This window comes from Homo sapiens, chromosome 3 (assembly GCF_000001405.40).
Source record: "Homo sapiens chromosome 3, GRCh38.p14 Primary Assembly".
In the NCBI taxonomy this organism is placed as follows: domain Eukaryota; kingdom Metazoa; phylum Chordata; class Mammalia; order Primates; family Hominidae; genus Homo; species Homo sapiens.
In genome coordinates, this window is record NC_000003.12 from 64,607,174 (window position 1) to 64,626,441 (window position 19,268).

The 19,268-nt window shown below is 37.9% G+C and overlaps 1 protein-coding gene across 5 annotated transcripts in view; it reads right to left on the minus strand.

Annotated features, from left to right (window-relative positions):
• Window positions 1-19,268, minus strand: part of ADAMTS9 (ADAM metallopeptidase with thrombospondin type 1 motif 9) — a 172,347-nt gene that overhangs the window by 91,520 nt on the left and 61,559 nt on the right. For all 5 annotated transcript variants that reach the window (XR_007095711.1, XR_245151.1, XR_007095712.1 and 2 more), the window contains 6 exons: window positions 15,247-15,413; window positions 15,025-15,154; window positions 13,941-14,067; window positions 8,787-8,997; window positions 8,148-8,312; window positions 6,172-6,336 (listed from right to left, as the gene is read on the minus strand). Coding sequence is in view for 2 of the 5 variants with exons in the window: in NM_001318781.2 (NP_001305710.1) it covers window positions 6,172-6,336; window positions 8,148-8,312; window positions 8,787-8,997; window positions 13,941-14,067; window positions 15,025-15,154; window positions 15,247-15,413 (965 nt within the window). In the remaining 3 variants the exon portion in view is untranslated. The remainder of the gene's footprint in view (window positions 1-6,171; window positions 6,337-8,147; window positions 8,313-8,786; window positions 8,998-13,940; window positions 14,068-15,024; window positions 15,155-15,246; window positions 15,414-19,268) is intronic.

Below are 19,268 nucleotides of genomic sequence, written 5' to 3' on the forward strand. Positions count from 1 at the left end.
TCACAGTAGGCCAGAGGGCTGGCGCTCAAATAAACTAGGTCGAAGTGGGCAATCCTGCTCTGTACAAATTATACTGATTCATTATTATGATGACCCTTGGAATTATTTCTGCCTCCCATTGAAATGATATTTATAGGGGTTCAACTCATTAACTGTGAACTCCTAGAAGGAGCAGACTGCATCTCCATCATTTTTACATCTTTCACACTACCTAGCAGAGTGCTGTGGCTAAAATAGGTACTTAATAGAGCTCTGTGACTTTATTTGACTTCTAGGAAATTATCCTGAAGAAATAACTGGAGTTTGCATCAATATTTTTATAAGAGACAAAAAAACTGGACACCACCAAAGTATGCAACAACCAAAAGTTCAATATCACAGCATACAGGTAGTTAGGAAAATAATGTAGCCACTAAAAGGCAAAATGTTAGATTATAAAAAGCAGACTAAAAACAGTAAGTAGAGGAAGTGATGCCACAGAAATGGCAGACTAGGGAGCTCCAAGAATTGGTCCCTCCACTGAAGCAACTGTTAAGCTGGCAAAAACTGGAATCAACTTTTTGGAACTGTGGAATTTAAACAAAACCTTGCAGAAACTAGGTGAATGCTTAATAAAAAAAGAAGCCACTCAATTTTGGCATTTCTGATTACCCACCTACCACACTACATATTCCTCTCAAACGTGCAGGGATCTTTTTTAAAGAGAGACCATACGTTAGGCTGCAAAACAAGTCTCAATATGTTTTAAAAGAATGAGATCCCACAAGCACAATGGAGTGAGGCAAGAAATCGGTAATAGAAGAAAAACTAGAAAATTCACAAATATGTGAAAACTGAACTACATATTCTTAACCCATAGGTCAAAACAGAAATCATAAGGGATATTAGAAAATACTTTGAGATAAATTAAAATGAAAGCAGAATATAAGAAAATTTGTGAGATGCAATGAAAGCAATGTTCACAGGAAATCTATAGTTGCAAACACCTACACTAATAAAGAAAAAAAAAAAATGAAGAAAGATCTCAAATCCACAACCTAACTTTACTTCCTAAGGAACTACAAAATTAACAGCAAACTAAAACCAAAAAAAAAAAAAAAAAACAAGAAAAGGAAGGAAATAATAAAGATTAGAATGGAGATAAATGAAATACAGAGTAGAAGAATAATAGAAAAAAATCAACAGAACCAGAAATTGATTTTTTGAAAAGATCAACAAAATTGATAAACCTTTAGCTAGCACGACTAAGAAAAAATGAGAAAAGACTCCAATTACTGAATATCAGAAATGAAGGAGGGAACATGTCTACTGACCTTACAGCAATAAAAGTGATGCCAATATATTAGAGAATCTAGATAAAACATGCCAACTTACGCAGATTGCCTAGAAACAGACAAATCACAAAAACTGACTCAAGAAGAAATAAAAAATATGAACGGACATATAAGAAGTAAAATGACTGAATCATTAATCAAAGTCTTCCTCAAAAAGTTTGTACCAGTTCACTCATGAATTTTACCAAACATTTAAATAAACATTAATACCAATCCCTTTCAAATGCTTTCAGAAAAAAAAAAATCAAAGAATAGGAGAACACATCCTAACTTATTCTATGAGGCCAGTATTACCCTAACACCATAGCCGAAGACAACACACACACACACCAGATTAATATTGCTTATACAGATGTAAAAATCCTCAACAAAGTACTAACAAATTGAATCCAATAGCATACTAAAAGGATAGTACATCATGGCCAAGTGGGATTTAGTCCAGGAACATAAGGCTGGCCCAACATAAGAAAATCAATCAATGCAATACATTACGTTAATAGAACAATGGAAAAAAAAACATGATTATCTAAATTAAAGAAAACCATATGACAAAATTCAACATCTTTTCATGATAAAACAATTCAGAAATCTAGCAATAAAAGGGAACTTATTCAACATCATAAAGAGCAGTTAGGAAAAAAACCCACAGCTAACACCATACTCAATAGTAGAAGAGTAAAAACTTTTCCCCACAAGATCAGAAACATGACAAGGATGCCCGCTTTCACCACTGCTGTTCATCATTGTACTGGAAGTTCTAGCCAGAGAAATTAGGAAAGAAAAAGAAATATTAATAAAAGACATGCAAAGAAAGCGGGAAGGAAGAAGTACAACTAATTCTATTTGCAGATGTCATCATACTATACATTGGAATCCCAAGAATCCATTAAAACTATTACTACAGCTAATAAACAAATTTAGCAACATTGAAGGATACAAGATAAACAGAAAAGCCTATTGTGTTTCTATACATCAGCAATGAACAATCCCAAAAGTAAATTTAAAAAAAAAAATTCAATTTACAGCAACATCCAAAAGAATGAAATACCTAGGAACAAGCTTAAACAAGGAGGTAAAGGCTTTCTACACTAAAAACTATAAAACTTTGCTCAAGAAATTAAAGAAGACCTAAATAAATAAAAAGATATTACATGTCTATGGATTAAAAGATTTAGTATTGCTAAGGTGACAATATGCCCCAAATTAACCCACAGATTCAGTGAAATCCCAATCAAAATCCTAATAGCATTTTTGCAGAAATGAAAAAGCGGATTCTCAAATTCATATGGAATGACAAGAGACCCCAAATAGCCAAAATGATATTGAAAAAGAACAAAGCTGGGGGAATCATACCTCACAATTTCAAAACATACTACAGTGATCAAAACAGTCTACTGGCATAAGAATAGATGTATAGACTACTGACATAAAATCTAGAGTCCAGAAATAAACCCATATATCTATGGACAAGTGACTTTCAACAAGAGTGCCAAGACCACTCAATGGAGAGAGAACAGCCTCTTCAGCAAGTGGTGTTGAGACAACTGGATACCTACATGCAAAACCATGATGTTGGAATCCTGCCTTATGCTATATACAATAATTAACCCAAAATGGATCAGTGGCCCAAACATAAGAGCTAAAACTAGAAAACTCTTTTAAAAAATGGCAGAAAAACTTCATGACATTGGATTCGGCAATGACTTCCTTGACATCATAAACAAGGGCAACAGAAAATAGACAAATTGGACTACATCATAATTTAAAACCTTGTGCATTAAAGGACACTATCAACAAAGTAAAAAGGCAACACAGGGGATGGGGGAAATATTTGCCAATCATATCTCTGATAAGGAATTGACATCTAGAACCTACAACTCAAGAACAACGAGAAAAACAGATCAAAAAATGAGAAAAGGAACATTATTGAATTATACATTTAAAATAGTTGAGAGAAATTCTGTGATGAGTTTTATTTTACTATTAACACAATTCATATTTTTTTTTAAAAAATTGGCAAAGAAGTTGAATAGACACTTCTCCAAGGAAGATATATTCAAATGACCAACAAGCACATGGAAAGATGATCAGTATCTTTTGTTATTAGGGAAATACAAATCAAAACCATAGTAAGATAAATTTATCTTACTTGGAATTTTAAAAAGGGAAAATAACAATTTTGGCGAGGATGTGGAGAGAATGGAACCCTTGTATTATATGATAATAAAAATGCAAAATTATGCGGTTGCTGTAGAACATCATTTGGTAGTTAAAAAGTTAAACCCAGAGCCGGGCACGGTGTCTTAGGCCTGTAATCCCAGCATTTTGGGAGACCAAAGAGGGCAGATCACGAGGTCAGGAGATAGAGACCATCTTGGCTAACACGGTGAAACCCCGTCTCTACTAAAAATACAAAAAATTAGCTGGGCATGGTGGCACGCACCTGTAATCCCAGCTACTCAGGAGGCTGAGGCAGGAGAATCGCTTGAACCCAGGAGGCAGAGGTTGCCATGAGCCGAGATGGCGCCACTGCACACCAGCCTGGGCGACAGAGTGAGACTCTGTCTCAAAAAAAAAAAAAAAAAAAAAAAAAGTTAAACTCAGAATTACGGTATGATTCAGCAACTCCAATCCTAGATACACATCCAAAAGAAGTGAAGCCAGGTACTGAAATAAATGCCTGAAATAAATATTCATAGCAGCACTATTCACAATAGCCAAAGGTAGAAACAACCGAAATGGCCATTGAGGGATAAATGGATAAACAAATTTTGGTATAGCCATACAATGGAATATTCTTTGGCCAAGTACTGATACATGCTACAATATAGATGAATCTAGAAAACACTGCGGTATGTGAAAGAAGTTAGGCACAAAAGGCCACAAATTGCATGATTCCATTTCTATGAAATGTCCAGAATACGTAAATCCATAAACACAATGCAGACTGGTGGTTGCCAGGGACTGAGGGAAGAGTGGGGTGGGGAACAAATGCTTAGTTCAGTGGTCCCCAGACTTTTGGGCACCCAGGACCAGTTTCATGGAAGACATCTTCCACAGATGGGGTGGGTGGGGGTGGTTTTGGGATGAAACTGTTCCACCTCAGATCATTAGACATTAGATTCTCATAAGGAGTTCACAACCTAGATCTCACAGTTCACAATACGGTTTGCACTCCTGAGAATCCAATGCTGCTGCTGATCTGACAGGAGGTGGAGCTCAGGCGGTAATGCTTATCCACCACTCAACTGTTGCTGTGCAGCCTGGTTCTTTACAGGCCATGGCCCATGGCCCATGACCCAAGAGTTGGGGACCCCTGGCTTAATGTATACAAGGTTTCCTTTTGGGGTGATGAAGTTTCGTAACTAGGTAAAGGTGGTAGTTGCAAAACATTAAGAATATGCTAAATGCCACTGATTTGTTCGCTTTAAAATGGTTCATTTTGTATTATGTGAGTTTCATTTCCATTAAAACAAACAATTGGCAGAGTACAGTCACAATATTAATTTAAAAAATATTAGAAGCAAATCATAAACATGTTAGCAACAACTAATTTCTTCAGTGTAGAGGTAGGACTGGGTTTGGTTTTCTTCTTTTTGCTGAATTACATTTTGCAAAATTTCTCTTATGAATATTTACGACCCTTAAATAACACCTCCAAAAAACTGTTCCCCTGAACTGCATGTTCAGTTCAAGGAAAAAAAAAGATCTCTAATTATAAGATGTGCTAGGAATGGCCTGGTGTAGAGACAGATGACAAACAGGCCTGTCAATTCTAACAGATGTTATATTCAGATCTTGACAGTGACCCTAAGCTGTGTTCTCCTCCTCTTATTATTCCCTAAAAGTTATGCAGATACAGACAAAAAGAAGATGAGATTAGAAGTATAAGTGAACTCTCCCTATTAATTCAGACATGATTGGCAATTTGGACTGTGGATGCTATGAAATGGGGAAGATTCAGAAAAGTGCCCATATCAGTGATAGAAATTGTAAGGGTGCCATAATAAAACTGCTTCCACTTGTTGCATGCATATTTGGAAATGAAGATAGAGGCTAAAAGACTGAGTGGCTGTGGCTGGTCAGGGTGAAGGGAGGGTCATTCTTCAAGAGATTACGCAAGTGACAGCAGACAGCTGTTCTACTTCTAATGGGAACTCAGAGTGCTACTTAAATAGTACCCTGAACGCTTCTGCTTCTATATTAGGAAGGACTTAATTCCGAGAGTAGTGGCTTCTCAGATGCAAGCCCAAGGGAGACTTTCACTCTCTCCTTTAAGAATAGCTCAAGTTAAGACTGTGGAACCTACAGACTAGAGGACTTGGAAAAGATTATTTCCAAGCATGAGGGTTTTGCAACCTTTGATCTAATTAATTATGTTTGAAGAGTCTGGCTTATTTATGAGAGGTGAGCTTTGTAATTGTGACATTGGGAGCCAAAATATCTTTTCCAAATCTCATTCCAGACCTTCCTGCCAGAGACTCTGGTGCTGGATCACCTTCTGTAACAGACCCACAGAGGCACGCTAGAAGATAACATCAGCCAGACATGAAATCTGTTGTGAATTTGTTCAAACACTCGTCTGCTCAAGCTAAAGGGCAAAGATAGGCACGTGGGTCTGTAAAAGGGTAATCAGCTCCAGGAGGGCAGGCAGCAATCCTTGGAAGGGGGGCAAAATGGTTGCAGAGTTACATGTGCTTGATCCAGTGCCATGGAGGTGTCCTGCATGCCACCCGGCACAGCGGTTAAATCTCCACCACTGGAATGCTCCTTTGCAAGTCCTCTCCAGATAAGAAGGAAAGAATGTAGCAGTTAAGAATCTTATCGTTCAAAATACCTGTCCCCAGGGACCCGCCTGCCAGGATGCACATTCCGGCTGCTGACAAGTCTGCATAGATGTTGGCTTGGTCTCAGGGTCACACATTCTATCATTTAATCGATCTTCACCAAACTGACACCAGACCTGGCGGTGCTTATGCCCTTTTCCACAGGTGACCAAGCACTGTAATGAAAAGCGGAGCTAGTCAGGGTCATTTCTGATCAATGTGTTGTGGTTTCTGGGGTTATTTATTGATGAGTAGGAACAGGTGTGTCCTTTTCCCACAGCAATCACTCTCCCATAGCAATTTGTAAATATACTAAGCCTCATTTTTTTCCTTTTGTTCGTTCATTTATTCATTCATTCTATATTTATAGTCTCTGGGCCAGTTTTGAGCACAAAATAAACTAAACACAGCTCCATGCTATAAAATTTGAAAAACAACATTCATAATTTTATAGCATAGGAGTTAAGCATGGGGAATTATAAATCACATCAACCTAAGTTTTAACACTTATATAACCAGTCACAAGATCTCTCTGAACCTCAATTTTCTCATCTGTAAAATGAGAATTAGTGTCTACTGCAAAGGGTTGTGAAAACTAAATGAAACAAATACAAGTAAAGCTCTTGGCACAATGTTCATTTAATAAATGCCAAATGTAATCATCATTTTATCCATACTTACTGTAGAAAATTTGAAAACTGTAGAAAAACATAAATGAAAAAATTATAATGACCCAAAATCTCGCTACCCAAGGATAACCATTATCAATATTTTATTATTTTCTTTCCAGTCTTTTTAAGCAACTTTGGATTATAGTGAATTTACAGTTTGATCTCCCAACCCCCATTTTATCGCATATTATTGCAAAGGTTTGTTACTTAGTTTGAAATTATACTTTAGTATTAGCTATCTAAGTAAAATTTAAACCTACTACTTATCTTTTTTTAACCAAATACTAGAGATTTTTAAGCAAAGGCAATTTGTTAACCTAGAACTAAAGCACTAGGTTTGCAGTTCATTTGTCCAGGAATCAGACACTGTTAATCAAATACACTGTTAATTGACTGCCATTTCAGGGGCATTAAGAGTATCCTTTTCAGATTTATTTGATGGTGAAAATAAGCAGTTAATACTGCACTTATAAGGATGGGATAAGAGCATGGATGTAGGAGCTGTAGCAGGGAGACTTTTTCTTTCCCCATATTCCTGATTTGGCCCATTAAAAAGGAAACTTCTGTTTCGTATTTCTTATTTCCCTTCTTCCCCTTAAGGAACGTGGAGTGAGTCCCTGCTTGGTAAGAATCTCCTTGGGCTGTGTTAACACTGGGCTGTGTTAATAGTGAGTGCTAATACTATATCATAAAAGCAAGAAAGAGGCTGCATCTTCTTTCTCTTGTTGTCCTGGGACCATCTGTGCTAAGCAATGGAGGGTTTGCCTTGTGCTTCATAAAGTAAAGGATGAGAAAGGCATAAATCTGGAATACTCAGTCTGGTCCATTTCTTTTCTTTTTTTTTTTTTCCGAGTTTTATTTTTTTTTCTTGCAGTTGGATGGGTAAGTCAGAGAGGTCACTCCCTGGGGTCTAATTCTCTTATTTCAAAGACAAGGAAGTAGGAAACTTCATGTTGACTTCAGATGTGAGCTAGTATAGCTTTATGATTAATAAATCCATGATTTCCTTTCAGTGACTTAGCTAGGGCTCAAAGAGGAGGGAAGGTGATGGACTGCAACTTCAAAATCACAACAGAAGCTACAACAGTGAGTGATCTAGCCAAGCCCAAAGTGCCCTGAGGTCACTGGTAGACTAGTTACATCCAGTACGACAGTCATGGTGCAGGCAGAGAACTGGAGTTGTTTTCTCAAGGGAGACAAGGGAGAAAGGGAGAGGTGGGAGAAAGGTGCACAAGGGTTTGTCTTAAACAGATAGAGAGCACCAGAACTAGAATGTAAGAGATGACCTAGGGGAAATAACAGCCCTCCCATCTTACCTCTGACCAGTCTCCAGATTTCCACTGTGGACAAGGGAACTCACTGCACCTCTGAATGGTAACTTTCTCTTGATGTGTGCATTTGCTGTCATCCAGTACATCATTTCGGGTATTGACACAAATAGCCCTTCTCCTCTGGGTCCCACCGTCACAGCTTTTTGAACACTGTAGGGACAAAATAAATAAATAAAACTGTTGCTAAGTTTCTTATAAAGTATGCTGAAGATCCTGGCTATGTTGTCTCTTCCAGCTCTTAAGAAACAACACACAAGCTGGCCAACTCTAGTTATTTTGGTGGAGATCTTTTCATGTTATCAGTTTGCTTACCAGGTTTATAATTAAACTCAAAATTAGCTCATTGGCATATAAAAATAAAACCGGAAATGGCTTGTAGAGTATGCAAAAGAAATCAGTTGAGTTGTTCCACTTCTTCCAAATTTCCACACGTCATGCCCATGTCAGACATTACAAATCAACCATGCTACTCTATTCTGGAAAGCTTGAATGGGGTCAGGCATTACAAATCAATCACGGTCATCTCTTCCGCACAGCCTAAATGGGGCTTACACACCTGCAAGGAGCCACCATCAACTAATCAGACAGCATCCAAGAAGACTCTTTGAGTGAGAGCCAACTTACTTCAGTCCAGGCAGAATAGCGCCAGCCACCCGTGTTACATTCCCCTGAGCATTTTTCACGGTTGCTTGGTTTGGGATGGCTGCTGCAAAAACCATCATCAACCTTCTCAGTCTTCCCATCCAGCCTGCTATATTTGGCACAGTAGATGTCCAATGTGCGGTAACCCAAGCCACACTGGGCACTACATTCACTCCTGCTGGCAACATGCCACCTATGCAAAAATAATGGGGCAAAACCAACATTTCTGTTAAAAATATATGCCTTATCTATAGTCAACTGGTATTCATAGAAGAGTTGAGTTCTTTTTTCTTTCTTAACTCGAATACCATGAAGCCCAAAGCCACAGTCAGTTGCTAAAATCTAATTTTAAACCAACATATCCATGTGTTTTTCATGGCTGCCAATGTACATAGAAGTCACAGAATGACAGCCAGAGGTGTTACCTTTGTGATGATTTTACCCCGATAGTCAATCTGAAATTCAAGCTACCAAAAGGAAAACATTTTTTTCAAGTGTATTAAAACCTGTGTACATTATTATCTGTAAATAAAGGCTCTTAAATTCCTTGAAGACATGGACTATATTTTATACAATTCAATTATACACTTTAAAATTAGATTTGAATCTATAAATCTCTGTCACCTTTGTATCCATACTACCTGTAATGAGATTATGGGGGGACACAGTAGGTATTCAGTGTGTGCTGGCCAATCGTCTGGTTCTTTTAATACCCTAGGAATATGATCAGCAGTGCTTAAATTTAAAAAGAAAATAAATAATATTCTTAAACTAAATAGAATATTCTAAATAAATGACCTTAAAATGTATTTTGTTGATTAGATTTAGAAATCCAAAAAGGGTGATTTCCTTGTACTCTTCATTGGATTTCACTCTTGACTGTTCACTCATCACTGCTTAGAAATTGTGTGGTTTGTTGGTTACCAATGTCCTGAGACTACTTCCATGTGTACCTGTCCAGGGTAGAACTCAGGGTAAAAAAGAGTTCTGGCCTCATGCTTATCTTGGAATTTCTCATGAATGCCCCAAAGTAGGTCAGAGTTGACCATCTGGCAAGTAAAGTGGGCTATGGAGATTTTCCAATAGAGTGACACCATATTTGGGGGATTTTGTTCTAACCCGGAACATGTTCAATGAGAAATTGTAAAACAATGCTTTATCTCATCCTGTCACAGTGTAGTGGGGCAAACTCTCACTTCCTTCAGGAAGTGTGGCAAAAATGTGGCCCAATTTAACAGAAGCATCTGGAACTTTCATCTGCCCTTTGATTCTTGGCTACCTTCTCTTTGCCTTCGTCACCATTTCCTTGTGGAAAGGTTATTTTCCATCCTGGATGAAGAAGGAAGGTGTCCTGCCTCCACAAGAAAACATGCCAGCAGCTTAGCATGGCAGAGTGGCTCAAGTGCCCCTGACAGTAACATCATCCCCAGAATCTGAGCAGAGAATCTTGAAGAGTCTATGGAAAGGGCATAGCGCAGCCTTAGAAAAGTTCTCAAAATGCTACCCCCTGCTTTGTAGTCTCTCCCTGGATGGTGGTCTTCAATGTTTCGTGTTCATTTAGTTCATTTCAAGGGACATAAAATACAATTGTATTTTAATACTATATTTCAGGAAACCATATTCCAAAGTGTTGTTACTAAGTAGAAACTGAGAAAAAAAAAGTGTAAGCCTGTGTGTTTTTATTGCAGGGGAAGTTGTGGGATTAAATAATTTTAAGAACGACTGAATTCAAAAGGTTTTATATATTACAGAACTTTTCAAGGCCTTCAAAATGTTGATCAGCATTATTAACCTCCACAGGGGGAAGGAGATTCTTGGTAAGTCTTGTCAGACATACTGGTGTGCCATGAATCATCATTCAAAATGAGTGATCCACAACCATGCGTTTGGAAAAGCTATTTCAGAGTTTGACCAATCAGTAACAATCTTCTCTTCAGTCTTTCAGTTTTGGACACAGCTACTTGACAATAATTACTATAAATCATGGTTATATTGACTGTCAGTTTGATAGATGCAAGATAGAACACCTTATTTAGGCTTGGTTTGTGTCGGTGTATTTTTCAGTGAACGATTTTATTTTCCCAACAATCTATACAGGCCAGTAAGCTACGCATTTAAAAGCTGACAAATAGGCATGATCTTCTGGTTAATTTTAGGAATGAGCATGCACCTGTCTAATGAGGCCTTGGAAACTAATCCTAAACTCCTGGTTTTTCTTTGCATTTTAAAATTCCTAACCCTATGATCTTCATATCTACCAAAAGACCTGGACATAATCCCTTTACCTTTTCTTTAATTAGAGGTGCTATTATTACCATTGGCCTATGATCTGACGTGCTGTCCTTGTTTGGTCTGAGTAGAGTACATATAAAAGTTAAGTGTCAAAAAAATAGTGACTTTCTCCAAATGGGAAATTTAGAATTTAGAATAGCTTAGTGTGCTAGCATACCTACTATATGAAACACAAAGAACTGAAGCCCTAATTACAGCTAGGTATTGTGACATTATTTTTAATAAAAATCAGAGGATGAACTATGGAATCAGAAAGACCTGGATGTGAGTGTCAATTAAGTGACCCTAGTTGCGTGCTTCACTAAGCCTCAGTTTCCTCATCTGTGAAATGGAGGGAAACAGAACCTATTTCACTGGGATATTTGGGGGATTGAGTGAGGCAAGCCATGTGTAGCATTTCACACATATGGCAGACATTCAAGAAAAGTAGCTATTCCTGTTATAATTTATTATTATTATTATCATTATCCTTGGTGTTTCATTCTCCAACCAAGTTTTAAGCATCATGTAACTCCACGTAAACCAATGAGCGGAAATCTATTTGAGATCTTTTGCATCATTTTACACAAAAACTCATGGCTTCGGGGGTACCTTTTAATGTATTAGCTTTATAAGCACTGTTTACATTTTATGTCTAAAGGCTTCCAATGCAGGAGAAACTTTGGAGAACACCACATAAGCCAGCATCATCACAAATTAAATAGTGGCTCACTTTGGAATCTGCTCAAAGTGAAAAATAGTTTTTCAAAATAACAGCTCAAACATTATCTCCACCCTCAAATTGGTGCTCCATGGGTAAACTTAAAAAGAGGGTTCTTAAAGAATTATTTATTTTTTAGATCACATTCTATTATTCGCAATGCTATGTATAAATCCACCATCTGTGCGATCATAGGAGCATACTTAGCACTGTAGGCAGGAGTTCTGCTGTATCTATAGTTATAATCAGAGACTCAACCAGTCTCGTTCTGATTCAATCAGTGGAGAAAAAACAGGTAAGGGGCTCCAAGCAAGGTAGGGAACAGGGATGGGGCAAAAAAACTCATGGGAATTATTTCTTTTCACAAAGGAAGAGAAGCTACCCAGAATAGAATCCATGAGTAACACTCATCGTTATAACTGAATTAAGAATAAAAATAACTCTCTCCTAGGATTTAAGCACAGGATCTAGGTACAGATTTAGATTTCCGTCACTCCACTAACTCGTTGTGTGAGCTTGTGCAATTTGTTTAACGACTCTCAGCCTCTATTTTCCTTATTTGTAAAGTGGTAAGAATAATAATATATAAATCATAATGTTGTTTGAAGAATTAGTAGGGTATTAATTATATTAACAGGATAATAGATAATGGGATAATATAAGAACAATCCTATTAGTAAAAGAATATTAATAGGATAATATATAACTGTTAGAAAAAATAGTTCTTAGTAAATGGTTGACTCTATTACCATAACCATTACAGAGTACTGGGGAATATAGTGATAATTTGATATAAGGCTACCCAGAAAATGTCACCATTCTCAATTTATTAAGGTTGTGCCTCAAGGAATCTATCCACCAATTCATTTTTTTCCCCAAACTGTAGTGATTAATTCAGTTTAGCGGTTAGTTAACTAATTATTTTTTCCTGAAGAGACTTGAACTTTAATTTAACTCAATTGGCTGAAACAAAGATGGGTTTATATGGACACTATCTACAACAAGAATATTGCCTAGTATAAACGTCTGCCTTTTAATGTCTTCCTGTTTTTTTTTTTTTACAATGACTTTTGTCAATATATTTTGGCAAGCCAATTTCACTAGGGCAATGAGCTAGAAAGTCAGTGACACTGGGTAGAGGCTAGAAAGATCCTGGGCTTTGAAGTCAGAGCCTTCAGTCAGAACTGGCAAAAATATGACACTCGTACCATAACTGCTCCTCTCACTTCCATGGCAGACATTAGTAGTCAATCTCAGAACTCCTCTATTTTCTCAGAGCCTCAAGTAGGCCTCATAATCTGCCCTAAAGCACTACAGGCAGCCAATACCCTTTGATAGGATTTGGCATTGTAATGTGGAGCCTTCAAAGTGCTTAAGTATTCACTTTTCTGCTTATAAATGGTGAGACCTTAACACATTCCTATACCACTCTCCACTGAATTTCCCTTCTTAAAAGGAGGACAAAACAGCAACTCACCTTAACTGCATTTAACTGTCATGCAGAGTATAAAATGCAAGCCCCGACTACTTAATATTTCAATATGACACAGTCAACCTTGCAGGCAAATAGAAAAGCTTCAGAATGCTCTACCCACCCAGTATTTCCTGCCTCGGATTTTACACTTTTCTTAAACACAGAATTGTTTGAATATCTCAGACATCCATATATACATTTTCTTCTTGTTTCTTCCATGACGCTACCTTAGTGTACTGCAACTTTCAGGTGTGTAGGAGTTCTTCTACTGGGTGGTATACACTCTCGGTAGATATAGGTCATTATGGGTACTTTGAGGGATGAGGTTCTCCCCCTTTTCTTTTGACTTTCAAAACAAGTTTTCACGTACAATGTGACTCAATCATAATGCTAATACCTACCCAGCAAGTTGTGAGGATCAACTGAATTTTTTTTGGCAAGTGCCATACTCTATTAGCTATTTTTAATTCTTAGGTGAACAAGAAATCTGCACATGTATGTCTTGGATAATCAGTTCCAGAGGGATGGAGAATTGGTTAAAGCTTATTTCACTGAAACACAAGAAAGGGGAACTAAAGACCAGCATCCCCTCCTTTTGCTTCTCCTGCTGGGACCTCCTGCAAGACTCTCACAATTCAGTAATAAAGGCCTTGAGAAAACAGTGGCCCACCTCAGGTCACAGTCTGTACCACAGGGTTCAGTAATGTGTCCAGGCTGGGGCAGCCGATCGCATCTTTGATCAGAAACAGTAAGCTGATCAGATTCCCTGGTGCAAACAAGTTTTCGTTTCCGTTCCCCTAAGCAGAAAGGGAAAAAAAATTATTCAGGGAAAATAATCTATTCCATAAACTATTTAGACCCCGGATTGGCAAGCATTTTCTCTAAAGAGCCAGACAGTAAATATCTTCAGAGCGTATGATCTCTGTTGCACTATTCAACCCTGACATTACAGGGCAAAAGCAGCCACTCACAGGCAATACATAAACAAAATTGTCATGACTGTGTTCCAATAAAACTTTATTTGTAAAAGTAGGTAGGCCGGGCACAGTGGCTCAAACCTGTAATCCCAGCATTTTGGGAGGCTGAGGTGGGCGGATCATCTGAGGTCAGATGTTTGAGAACAGCCTGGCTAACGTGGTGAAACCCGTTCTCTACCAAAAACACAAAAATTACCCGGGCATGGTGGCATGCACCTGTGATCCCAGCTACTCGGGAGACTGAGGCATGAGAATTGCTTGAACCAGGGAGGCACAGGTTGCAGTGGGCTGAGATTGTGCCACTGCACTCCAGCCTGGGCGACAGACCAAGACTCCATCTCAAAAAAATAAAAAAATAAAAAAATAAAAAAATAAAAAGAAAAGAAAAAGAAAAAAAAGGTAGGCGGTAGGCTGGATTTGGCCTGCTGGCTGTGGTTTGCTGACTCCTCATTTAGACAAAAGAAAACAAAATAAATAACATATGCTATGACTACTAAAACCATGCTCTGGAAAATTACAATGGCGGAGGTGATTTTTGCTTGGTTTTACACATGTGTACAAAAATTTCTTAGGATGAAGAAATCTAAAATTTCTTGAATCACTTAAAAAGTTCAACTTCCCAGCCAAAAATGACCAGACACATTCAAAGAAAAGAGATTAGAGAACGTATGCAGATAGAAGGGTTTGCAGTTTGCATGCATTTGGCTGTTATTAAAAATAAATAAATAAATAAAATAAACTTCTCAAATCCCCAGAACTCAAATTCAAAGCAGATACCTTGGCAGGGTTTACTGCATGCTTGCCATGGCCCATGACTGTTCCAGTAAAACTGCTGAGGTTTATCTTCAATTGGAATATTGAAAGAATAGCGTACATCGGGGTTGTACAACTTTCCCACCGACAAAACCTAGAATGTGTGGACAAAACAGAAACGAACTGGGTGGGCTTAGTAATGCCAAGCAGAAGAAAAGGGTGGTGGGCTCATGGTCAAGTTTTTACCTGAAGCAAAAGTTCTTGCTCAATGCGATCTGTTGAGTTAATTCTTTCTACGGCAGTCTCGGACCCACTGTACTCTACCACAGCATTCCCAATGCGAATTTCCCTTTTGGCCATTGTGACAACAAAGTTTCCATTTAGCAAGAATTCACCTTTACTGCTTGATAAAGCTGTAGGTGAAGAAACAGAATAATACATTGATCTGCTGTCAATGACTAGCTGTTTGAAATATGAAGTAACATCTGGATAGGTAGAGAGTCGCTGTGCACGGAATGGGGACTTTTGAGGCAGACAGGCATGGCTTCAAGTCCCAAGTTTGCTACTTGCCAGCTGTGTGGCTTTGGGAATCATTTTCCATCCATCTCCATTTCTTTATCTCTAAAGTGGAGATAAAAGCACCTACTCCCTTGTGGTATCTGTGAAAAATAAAATGTAACCTAGGTGTCCTAATAAACCTTGATCTTGTTATACAAGACCCACAGTTATAGAATTATAGATGGAAACAAAAGTGTTTATATGATTTGAAAATATGCATTAGTGAACGGAACACTTACAAAATTGGTTCCTAGACAAATCTATATATACTAGAATTAGTCAAGCCTGTTGAATCTTTGTTAAGTCTTTTTTGTTTGACAGATGTTGAAATCTGAAAATCCATGGTTAATATGATGCTCAAAGATCTCCTTATCAGTGTAGCTCACTGTGGTAGCCAGCCTCAAATATGGCCCCAACGAGCCTTGTGGCATGGTATTCACACTATGTGTCATCCCCTCCCACATTCAATAGGAATGACTGCAATCACTAGGACAATGCAGAAACAACAGAACCTGACTTCTAAGGCAAGGCCAAAGGCACTTTGGCTCTGCCTTGCTCTTCCTTGGACCTCTGGTTCTGGAAGAAGCCAGCTGCCATGTTGTGAGGATACTAAAGAACCCACAGAGAGGCCTGCAAGCAGCAGGGAAGTACTGACTCCTTCTGCCAACACCCTCTGAGTGAGTAATCTGGGAAGTGGATTCTCCAGCCCTAGTTGAGTCTTCAGATAATACTACATTCCTAACTGCCATCTTGACTACAACCTCATGAGAGACTTCAAGCCAGAAACACCCGTATATGCTGCTCCCAAATTCCTTACATGAGAAACTGAGAGATAGTATATATTTGTTGTTCTAAGCCACTATGTCCTGAGATAATTTGTTACACAGTAAAAGATTAATACACCAACCCAGACCATTATTTCTAAACCTGCAACTGCCTCCCATTGTTAGCACATATTACATACTCTCTATCCGCTTTCTCATCTTTCTCCATGGCACTTTGTTTATACTCTCTCTTTCCAAACAAGAATGTAAGACCCATGATGGTAAGAATGTTGGGATCATTTTATTCACTACTGTACCCCAGTTTCTGAAAGAGCACATGGCAGGTGCTCAGTAAATATGTATCTTCGGGGAAGAATGAATGAATCTACTCCAGATCTTGCAAAAGATGAAAAAAATCAGTGATGCTGCAAAAGTGATATTGGAGAACTGCTTGAATCGAGTGCCAAAATGTTGGCCAAATGAGAACCTGGCAGAGTTAGACCAGTTATGGAATCTAAAATAGTCAAACCCATAGAAGCAGAGGGTAGAGTGGTAAATGCCAGGGGCAGGAGGGAGGGGGGATGGGGAGATGTTGGTCAAAGATACAAAGATTCAGTTAAGCAAGATGAATACATTCTGGAGATCTAGTATACAGCAATGTGACTATAGTTAACTTTAGTGTATTGCACACTTGAAATTTGCTTAAAGGGTAGATGATAAGTGTTGAAATAAACAAAGAGAGTGGGAAAGAGAAAGAAGAAAGAAAGGAAAAGAGAGACAAAGAAAGAAAAGGAAAGAGGAAGGAAGGAGGGAAGAAAAGAAAAAAGAAAACAAAAGGAAATGGTAACTATATGGGTGATAGATACATTAATTAGGTTGGTTTTGGTGATTATTTCACACTGTATAGGAGTATAAAAACATAAAGTTGAACACCTTAAATATATGCAATTTTTATTTGTCAAGTATCCCTTGATGAAGCTGAAAAAAGAAACAGGAAAGAAAATTGACAAGGAGGATGAGACAACAGCTGCTTCAGAAGAAATTATTTATTTATTAAAAGGTCAAGAGAGCTTATTGGGAAAGTTAATAAATCTCTAGAAAGCTTTTCTAAAATTGACTCCCTTTCAGATTTCACTGTTAAATCCAGACTTTCAGTCAAGAATATACTACTTTGCTATTATGTGACTTGATATGAAAAATATATGCAAAAATATTTATCAATTGCCTTATTCTTTTCAAAACCTTGGCATGATTAAAATGAAGATGTAATTTTGTTGATGGTCAAATACAAATAAATTTATTTTCATAATTTTTGATTAATTTCTCAAGATAAAATCTCAATCACATCTTTTCCTTTTAGTATTTAATTCAAAATTTTGATTGTGCTGCTTTTTTCTCCCCTGGTACCACTGCTCCTTGAATAAGTCCTCTTGAGTGTTGGGCTTGACATGAAGCAGGTATTTAATAAATCAGAGCTATTAAAAATTTGGGCTCTGAACAAAGACTAGAGAAAGGCCCCCCCTTACCGTCTGTAATTTGTGCAAGAGTAGCAAATTTTAGTAGTGAGGATGCCCTTGAAAGATACAGGCCATATATTTAGGTGAATAAAAGAAACAAGGACATTTAACTCACAGATGGCAAATAATTTTCATCCCCGGTGCCAATGTCAATCAATTGGTAACAGCCGCCCAAGAAACCATGCTGAACGTGATTCACCAACAGCATCATGTCTTAGCATCATATTGATGATACCTGTATTGGTTGTGGAATGAGGAGTGGACAAGATGTCTTAGGTATTAGCTAGATCCTAACTCATCTTTCATTGATGCAGGCCATCTCATCAATGTAGGTGACACATTATCTTTCACCACTCAGGAGAGAAGCAATGTGTACACAGAAGAGGTTCCAAGGATTTAGGTTAAGTAAATATTATATCCTTATGTGGATACTAAAGAGGGCAGAGATGAAGCTCTGAATATTTGTGGTTCAGCAGCAGCAGGATCCTTAATTTTCATAGACATGGGAACCTCACAGAGTTCATGCAATTGGACACCTTACTGACGCAGGGCTATTCATTCCAGGATTAGGAATTAACTGCATTGAATTCTGTTCCTAATCCAGCACTTCATTTACCAGAATTCTCACCCACATAAACAACATCTGGCCCCAAGAGAAGAATAAGGTGCCTTCATCTGAAATGACTGAGAAGAATGTGGTGACACTGGGAAATGTCAAGATTAGCTTTTAAAAGGATAAAATACCCTCCAACTTCTTGGCTCAAAATCCTTTGGAAGTCACCACTACCTACAAGATAGTACAACCTCCTTAGCATAGCCTCCCTGTAACTTTACAAATCTTAATCTTCACCTATCTTCCTAGTCTGACCATTCACTCCCACCAATAAACCTAAATTTCAAGTCCTGTATATTTCCAGGTCAGCCATATATCCTTCTACATGGTGGCAGTAAAGTGAACTGGTTAAGTGTGTAGCGTCTGAAGTCTGACCCATAAGGATACCAATCTTTCCCATTTTCTATTTGTATCACCTTGGATAAATTACTTAACCTCTCCAAGCCTCAGTTTCTTCCTCTGTATAATGAGTTTCTTATAGGATTGTTATATGGATTAAATAAGAATCCATATCAGCTTTAGTTCCTGGCAGATCAAAATGCCTTTGTATGTACTGTCTCCTTATCACACTTCTATAAGGTAGTGTCTATTATAGAAGCCTAATTTATGGATGAGAAAGGCATGACTTAAAATAGTTAATTTCCCAAGGCCAGGTGGCTCCTAATCATGGAAATCCATTTCCAGAGTCTACAAACTACTAAAATTTTCCAAGAAGGGGGTCAACAAACGTTTGTTAAATGAGTAAATGAGTTCATGCATTCGTTCTCTTGTATACAAATAGAAACTAAGTATGTTTGTGTTGTAGATTTTTCTTAA